This window comes from Homo sapiens, chromosome 2, assembly GCF_000001405.40.
Source record: "Homo sapiens chromosome 2, GRCh38.p14 Primary Assembly".
Classification (NCBI taxonomy): Eukaryota; Metazoa; Chordata; class Mammalia; order Primates; family Hominidae; genus Homo; species Homo sapiens.
In genome coordinates this window covers 223,214,783-223,223,875 of record NC_000002.12, presented here as the reverse complement: position 1 = coordinate 223,223,875, position 9,093 = coordinate 223,214,783, and the positions used below count along the sequence as shown (strand labels likewise).

At 38.4% G+C, this 9,093-nt stretch overlaps 1 annotated feature.

The window, feature by feature from the left end:
* Window positions 1,151–1,445: a silencer, noted in NCBI's record as "tiled region #6911; HepG2 Repressive non-DNase unmatched - State 24:Quies, and K562 Repressive non-DNase unmatched - State 24:Quies". NCBI's record gives its function as "represses a minimal TATA promoter and a strong SV40 promoter by Sharpr-MPRA in HepG2 and K562 cells {active_cell/tissue: HepG2 | K562}" and the evidence as "EXISTENCE:reporter gene assay evidence [ECO:0000049][PMID:27701403]".

Genomic DNA, 9,093 nt, shown 5'->3' with positions numbered 1-9,093 from the left:
TTGGTGCACTTTAGCTTTAAGCTGATGTATTTTGGATGCTATGTCATTCGAAAAGATTCCCTGACATATTCAGGGTCTGAAGTCTAAAGTAAGCTCTTATAAGTCTCTTCCAACTATACTATTTACATTTCCGCACAGTACACATCACTCTATGATAGTGTTGGTTTGTTGTCTATCTGTCTCCCTTCCTGTAGAATATGAGCCTCAGTGGAAGAGGCTCTTGTCCATCTCACTTACCACCATGTCCCCAGTGCCCAGAATGGTATCTGCCATGGAAGCGTTCAATAGATATCTGGTGAACAAAGGACTCGCTTTCTCAAGAAACTATTTCAAGAAGTAGAATGACAAGGTCAAAGGATGCAAATAATGCCCATTCAGAAATTTTTATTTCAGAGACTACAGTCCTTTCAGCATCCCAGAATTTTGCCTGAACTTCCAACTGGAGTGTTAGGCAATGCAAGGAAGGAAGATTGATGATGTATATCAATGGCACACAAAGCACCACCACAGCACGCTGTCACCAGAGGCACATGTGCTTTCACTTTTCATCCTTAAACCTGACCCTTGTCTAAAAGATTGATGAGACCCCCAAGCACTTGCTGTAAAATGTCTAGGGAAGAATCCTTCCAGCTTGCTGGTTAACATCCTTTTCCATGGCCATTTATTTTCTGAATTAAACCCAAAGTTTTGCTCCTTTGTAGGCTCAGAACATGAAAGTAAGTGTAAGAACCTAGATGTATTCTCACCTGGAAAAAAAAATGTTGAAAGAAAGGGAGACTTCTAAAACAATCATTCTTTCATTCATTCAACTAACATTTTGAGAACCTAGTTTGTGTCAGGCACTGGTCTAAAACTTGGCAGTGAAGTAAGCAAAGTCAATGGCTCTGATATTGTTTACATGATTATGAACATGGTTTACATGATTATAAAGGCTTTTGTTTTATTTCCTGAGGACAAGGATAGTTCTCATGCCCCATTGTATTCTGTACAACACAGCCTCATGTCATAGAGGATTGGTATTTACTATATTGCACTGAATTGTTAGATACATGTTTTTAAAATATAGAAATATATCTCTGAGAATTGGTAATGTCTTACAAATACAGATTATGTGGCTTTTTTTTCTTATTGGTATATAAAATAAACAGTGCATCTTACAACCAACGGTGTCTTAGATTTAATGAAATGCTGTAATAATGTAGAGTTACTCAGCATTTTAAAAGTCCTGGCATCCCAAATGTTGACAGAGTGAGTAAGTGTTACCCTTGGGATAAGGGGCAGGAAAGTGGGCAGATGAATCCTCTCTTGGTATGATTAGTGTTGCTCTCTGCACCTGAATGTAAACATAAAGTTTCCTGGCTCCTCCAACTTTCTTCTGAGAAACAACACATCCATGTGAGTCCATCCCTCGATCCATGATCTTTGCATGTTTTTTAACTTTATTGTGACTTATGTGGCAACTACTTCATAGAGTTATACTTATTTAACATTTGTAAACTAAAAATAAAACCCTAGCTCCCCCCACCGCTACCCCTACCCCTACCCCTACCCCCAACGAACTGAACAGACCCCTTCTTGGCTAAGGGCACTCCAGAGAAACCTTAAAAATCTGTTTGCAGACATGACAGGGTGGGAGGTCAGACATACCACATTATCCCCCCTCCCTTTATGTTTAGACCAGGGGTGTATAACCTTTTGGCTTCCCTGGGCCACATGGGAATAAGAACTGTCTTGGACCACACATAAAATATGCTAACACTAACAACAGCTGATGAGCTAAAAAAAAAAACACACACACACACACACAACAAACAAACAAAACAAACAAACAAACAAAAAAACAAACTCATAATGTTCTAAGAAAGTTTATGAATTTGTGTTGGGCCACATTCAATGCCGCCCTGGGCTGCATGTAGCCTGAAGGCTGCAGGTTCAACAAGTTTTAAACACATCTGACCAGTGTTAATGTTAAAATAGAGATCATAAGACTGTCAGAACAGACTCTTTGTGGCAAAAAGATACCAAATTATAAACAGGACCTAAAGCCATGCCAGGTAAAAGATAAGCCACACACCCCTATGGTTAAAGAATAAACTATGTTCTAAGTGCCACAAGGATTTTCTTTTTCTCTAGCAGCTAAACAAACACTGACCTCAAGATAAGCAATATTAAAACAATTATCATCCACCACTAGACATATTAACTAGCCCTCTGTTTCACAAACCATAACTGCAGCTTTGATTGGACTAAAGACTGATTTCAGTAATTTTTTACTGATAACAAGATGGCTGACCATGGACTGGTCCTAGCCAGTTTACAGAGGGTGTGCACTGAGTGCTTTCATGTCTCAAAAAGACTTTTTGACTTATGGTGCCTAATTGTAATACATGTAAATATTAATTGTCCACCCCAACTTGAGCATGGGTCATATGTAACATGCAAGTTTGTTAAATAGGCATGCATCAGGACCCCCTTCATGAATATTCGTGGCCCTTCCTGTGACCTCTTGAATATGTACATTTAGTCAACCTGGTCAGCATAAAGCTCCTATTCCAACCTCTCCTCCTTTGAAATGCCTTTCTCTAGTCTTTGCGGGAGGCTGCGCTTCCCGGCCTGTGGGATGGTCACCTTGCAAGCTGTAACCCTTTTTAAGAAATAAAGTCTCCTTTTTTAAATTTATAGATCTTGTGATTCTTAAGTTAACACATTAAATGAAATAAACCATGCAAAGTACTTAGAGCAGTGCCTGGCAGAGGAAACTGTCAATAATGATTTTTCCATCCCCCGTTGTTTTCTGGAGCAGATCAAGTTCTGCCCTCACCTTTTCCACCTCCCCTTTTGGAAATAGAAGATATACTAAAAGGAATCATCTCTTCTGCACCATGTAGTAGGAAGGCTGGGCTTCAAATTCAGAGAAACTGAATCCAAATCCTAGTAGTGCAGGATTTCTTGTCCTCAGCAATATTGATGTTTGAGGCCAGATAATTCTATATTGTCAGGGGCTGTCTTGCCATGGCAGGATTTTTAGCAGTATCCCTGGCCTCTACCCACTAGATGCCAGTAGCCCATGCCTTACATGTTGTGAAAATCAAACGTGTCTCCAGACATTGCCAAATGTTTGCAAATTTGCCCTCCACCCCACATTGGCAACTGCTGTTTTACTGTATGCCAGTTGGCCACATTGGGCATTTCCTCATGTTTAAAATGAGAATAGCAATGCTACATCCAACAGTTCTGGGGATGAGCTACTGTGCAGGGAAATCAATTTCTGGGCTCGAAGGCCACTATAAACCTAATGAGGATTGTGTTTCCATGTTCTGACTACAGGTATAGTTTTAATGTGTACTTCCGAAGGTCAGTTAGTGCTCCCATAAAGCTGAAATGAAGCATGGCTAAAAAGAATTATCCCATGGCAAACAGCTGGGAACAAGCTGTCATTAACAGAGTGTTTTCACTCTGTTTTCAAGCAGATATCAAAGCAAACACCTTCCTAAGGCCAGGCTCAGAGTCACACCAGCACAGGATCATGTTGAGGGCAGATCATAAAATCTGCAAGCCCTAAATATGCCACCTCCAGGTTACAAATTGGTAGTACTGAAGAAAAATTATAGAACGGTAATCTCAGACGTATTTGTCTCTTTCTGTGCATTTTTTTTTAAGTACAAAAAGATGTGCGTAGAACTGATTTGAGCAAAATGTTGGCCATCAGCCTTCTCCCACTTCCCCTCTTGCAGTACTCCTCTCCCCACTACGATGCCTCTGCTCTGTCTCCGGATCCCAGTGTCCCTGCCCACCCTGAACCACAGTCCCCTTTCCCTCCGTGCCTCGCCACAGTGCCTCCTTGTGATAACTCTATTACCTCAACTTCCTACCTCAAAAGGATCTGATCAGAGCTCAGTGAGTTGCAGCCCTTATTCTCCAGCAGTACATTCCTTTTAAAAGCACAACTTATTTAACCAACAGGAAAGAGATGGTCATATATCATTTGTTCCAGGGTGGAAAGGGCAATAACTGAAAATCAAAAGATCTGATTTTACCAATACTTCCTTATGATTTTCATGTGTGAAATGTTGAAGAAGTAGAGACACTCTGCAAATGTGCTTCTAGCTCGTTATCTCAGAAGGAGACTTGTGCTTCCTCCTGAAAGTATTAGGCCATCGCCTAAGATAAGATTAACTTTATCTCTAAATTTTCACACACATCATATGCAGATTCATTTTTAAATAATATTTCTTTTATTAACAACCTATTAATTCCATAAGATAATAAAGGAGCAACTCACCAGACCAGGCTTACAAGAAATTAGGGTAGAAGAAGACAGATAGTTGCCTACCAAATGGTATGAAATGAGGAGGTGCAGAAGGAAGGCTTCTCATCCCAAATGAAAATATTCTTCCTTCTCACACATCTATCAGAGGCTAGAATTCCCCCCATTAAAATGTGTTGTCCTAACAAAGGCAATAACATATTTTATCCATTCTACAATACTTTTCATAATTTCTCATTTCTAAAATCTAAATGTATTTTGCAATCAATGTTGATGTCTACATTTAATGTAGTAGTATTCCGCCACCCTCTACTGCCAACAAAAAGCTGTAAAATCAGTGACATATCTTACAATTAATGGCATGTTAATATCAAGGGGATGAGAAATTTAAAGCTGCTTGGAAATTAGTTTAACAGAGAGCATAGGGTCGAACCATACCTTCAAGGCAGGGTCACAGGGGCAGAAGCTGGGGAAGGGAGGAATGTTTGGATCATTGTGGGGAAGATAGCAGAGCCACATCACAATTTACCTGATGCCACAGTTAAAACTTACTCTGAATGTTTCTTAAAGTCTATGTCTCTCATTGGCATACAGATGAAGTTTGGACTTTTGGCCCATTTTATTGACATGATGTATAACAGCTAAATGCTATGAGATTTGTTTTCCAATGTATGAGATATGAATGCCAATCAGGGAAGGGAAGGGAAGGGAAGGGAAGGGAAGGGAAGGGAAGGGAGAGAAGAGAAAGCAACGAAAAAGAAAAAGGGCAGAGACTTGACTGACACTACCCAGAGTATCTGTAAAACTGGTAGTAAAACCAGCTGCTTCCCGATGTGGGAGTCTCTTTCTTGAACCTTATGTCCCAACTTCCAATAATTCTGTTATTCTTAGGTGGATTGCTAATGCAGTTTTCTCCACCTTTTGGAGTCTGGAGCCCCTATAGAGTTCCCTTTACCTCTGTTGCCAAGACTTGAGCTCAGATTGCATTTCTAACCTGGGGTCCATGGAGGAGTTTCCAGAAGGTTTGTGAACTAGAGAACACTCATTAGTAATGTTTCTTTGATTTTCTTTCTATTGCTCTGGAAACTATTTTCGTAAGTAAGAGAGTTGAATGCTACTTTTTGCAATTATATTACTATTTTCTATCGAAGAAGTACAATGTGAGACATGATGTTATACAATGAAGAAATGTATAGCTGCCATTATTTTCATGTAATACTGTTCATCAGGGTAGGAATTTTAAAAAACTCATCATTTTAATTATGGCATGAGTCTTTGTTTGCCTTGATCTTTTTAGGCTGGAAAATGTCAAAGAAAAGGGAATACTACAAAGCTATGCATATTAAGGTTTTACTTTCATTCTGAAATGTCATGAGTGTATCCTCTTTCTGGAAAAGGTCTCTTACCTTTCTGCAAAGTATAAAACCAGCAAAGCCAAAGGAATGTTATGTTACCCAACCTGGAAATACATCCAATAGTGTGGCTTCTTCTCAGGGGCAGGTTAAATTGCAAAAGTCTACAATTTCAGCAAAATTTGGATATGTCCCAATATAAATGCTTTGTATTTTCAGGATGGAAGAAGGGCCCAACTCTTCTGTCTGGGCAGCTATTCTGGGAGTTTGGAGAGGACAAACTTTCTAATGAAGGAGGAGAGCCTGTACAGGCTAAAGTCAAAGGGATAAAGTGCCAGAAACCCCAAAGGATTCTGAAGGTCCTTCAGTTCAGACTTCCATAAATGTGAAATAAAGATTCGTAATCCTTTCCCAGCTAACATAAATTCAAGAAGAAAGGCTTTCCAGAAATAATCTCATAGACTTCTGGAAAAAGGAATCCCTTTACTTATTTATTCAAATGTTTACTTAGTATTTGCCATGTGCTGGGTACCATTCTAGGTACTGGGGATATAGCACTGAACAAAATAGGATTCCTGCTTTATGAACTTGTATTCTACTATGTGATGAAGAATCTTTGAAATTTTGTTGTTCCCTTCCTTAATCTCTCCTGACAAAGCAAGCTATGGGGCTCCAATTACCTTTGCTACTAAAGGTTTTCATGAGTCACAATTTTCAGGACATGTTGCCAAAAGAAACAAAGTTGAGACTGATGTCATGTCAAAGATAACACATCAAAGATTACTTTATGATTTTATCTTATTATCAATAAAATGATAATGCCATCTATTTATTTCTGAACAAGATTAACATTTATATTTCTGAATAGATAATTTGGATTAGCTTCCCTATTTTTCATGAACTAGACATTAATTTGTACAAAAAAAGAAATATATTATGGTAAAGATGTTTTAAATATTCTATGTGAAGACAATCAAGTTTCAATTCAATGAAATAAACTTTATGCAAAACAGTATGTGTGTGTACATATTTGCATTTTCCTAAGGAGGGAACCCATAGATTCCATTACAACCTTAAATGTATCTGTGAGTCCAAAGGGGAATGAGGGAAGATAGTTAAGAAACTGTGCCCTAGGAATCCCCCTATCTTGCAAGGTGTAGCAGCTTCTAGTGAAGCTACTCATCACACTTTTTTCATCTGTCACATTCAATAGGAGGCGCACAGTCTACGGTTGTGGAGTAACTAACTTAGGGTAGGTTAAACTATCAGCATGACGTGAGCGCCTATTTTTCCAGGAAATTATGGCTTTTGTAATGAGTGATACGGGAAACTAGCAAGACACATCAGCAATGATCTCCACTCTCATAGGATTTCTAGTATAGGTCAAAAGACTGGACCTAATCATAAAAAGGAAATGTAAGAAATGCCATATAGCAATTTCTTAAAATATGAGTGGCACATGGATATAATGCCATGGAACATTTAAACTCAATAATGAGAAAGACATCCTTTTTCAATTCTCCTCAACCTCTGTATACGACAAGAGTCTCAGTTTGGGGCTAATATGTCCTTAAGACCCCTCTCCCTTACTAATCTCCTTTTTTACAGGAAGCAGATCTCAGACTCAGAGATTTCCAAGCTAAGAGTCTTCAGCTGGAATTATTTTTAAGATCTCATCACATTTCACTTGCATTTTTACATTTATATGAAGTGTAATATGCATAACTTGAACTAATCCTAAACTCACAGCTTGATACATTTTTATATACATATGGATGGATTTATGTAACCATTGACAGATTAAGATACAGAATGTATCTATCATCCAGAGAGTTCTTTTGTGCCCTTTTCCAATCAATACCCCTCTCTAGTTGTAACTAGTATCCTGACTTCCATTTCCATAGATTAGATTTTCCCATTCTTGACTTTTACAGAAATTGAATCATATAGTTCATATCCTTGCCTCTTTTATCTATCATGTCTTTGATATTCAGTGCAGTTGGATGTTATAATAGTTTGTTCTTTTTTTGTTGCTGGGTAGTATTTCATTGTGCAGGTACACCACAACTTATCTATTGTACTAGTGTGGACATTGGAGTTGTTTCCAGTTTGGGGCTATTATAAATAAGGCTGCCATAAACATTGTTTTCTTTTCACTAGAATTTAAGAACAACGTTTTTCTTTCATTGCATTCATTATGATTGCTTCTTATTTAAGGCAAGTAATTCTGGTTATCTGTTTCGGGTGCATTCAGGGTAGCATGGCTGTAGACTGGTTATCTATTTCAAATAGCAATAAAATAGTTCATTTTAAACTTAATTGATTTAAAAAAACAAAATTTCTAGAACATTGTAAATAAATAATTGTACATTAAGGAATATATTTGTTCAATTTCATGAATGCAGCAGCCAAAAGACCAGGGAACTGTTCTAAGACAGCTTGGGAAATTTTTCTAAGACAACAATAATTGGTTAGTTAGAAACCGAAAGATTTTGAAAGTAAATGCTGTGGGAATTTAGCAAACAAGTGGGTTCCAAGGGGTTGGAATAAATGCAAAGCCTTTGGAGTTCACTAAAGTGTGAATACTTTGAGGGAGGGAACGACATCCTATTCACATTGATATGCACATCACTCTGAAGAAAGTACCCAGTCCCAAAGACAGTCTTCATTAAAACTTGTTTCATATGAACAAGCTATATAGCTCTCCGTACCTCAGGAACAGTGCAAGATAGCCAGGAAGACACAGAGAGTACCCCAATCAGGGGAACAAGGCAGAGACAGCAAGTAATGTTCACAGAATATTAAGCAGAGCAAATGGACTCCAGAAGATCCTTATAGGGTAGCAGCAAGGGATAGAAGTGAGAAGGGAGGGGCGGGTCTGGGGAGGCAGGAGGTTGAGTTGCAGAATCCACCTCCGTGGGATTTAGCCAGACAGTTAATTTTGTAGACTACACACTTGAATGTTTTCCTCACTATGGGAACTTGAAAAACATAAGGTAGCTTATCAGTGAAAAGCAGCTTAAGAAAACTTCTAAAATTTCCATGGTGTGTGGGGGCCTAGTTTGCTCATCACTCTCTTCTTTTTCAGAAGGGTTTTCTGCAAAGTCCCAGAAGTTGATTACCCTTTGCATTCTGTTCTTCACGAGCAGGAATGTTTTCAAAATAAAGCACAAACTGCTGCTGTCTGAGCCGCCTGAGTTACATGTTCCAGAAACTTTGCTTCCAGACAAGAAATTTAGTCTTTGCTTTTTTTTTTTTTTTTTTTTTGTTCAGCAGAATGTGCCCATGCACATCTCATATTTCATCCAAATGGGAAAGTTTGCCATGAAGAGTTCTCCATAACACAGCTGACATTGGTTTAGATGGGACTAATTAAGTTTAAAGCTGGTCAGAGGTATAAGAAGCTATGGAGCATGAAATATCTTTTCATCAAAAATGTATTTTAAAAAGCAGAGAAGCTACAAAATTCTGCAT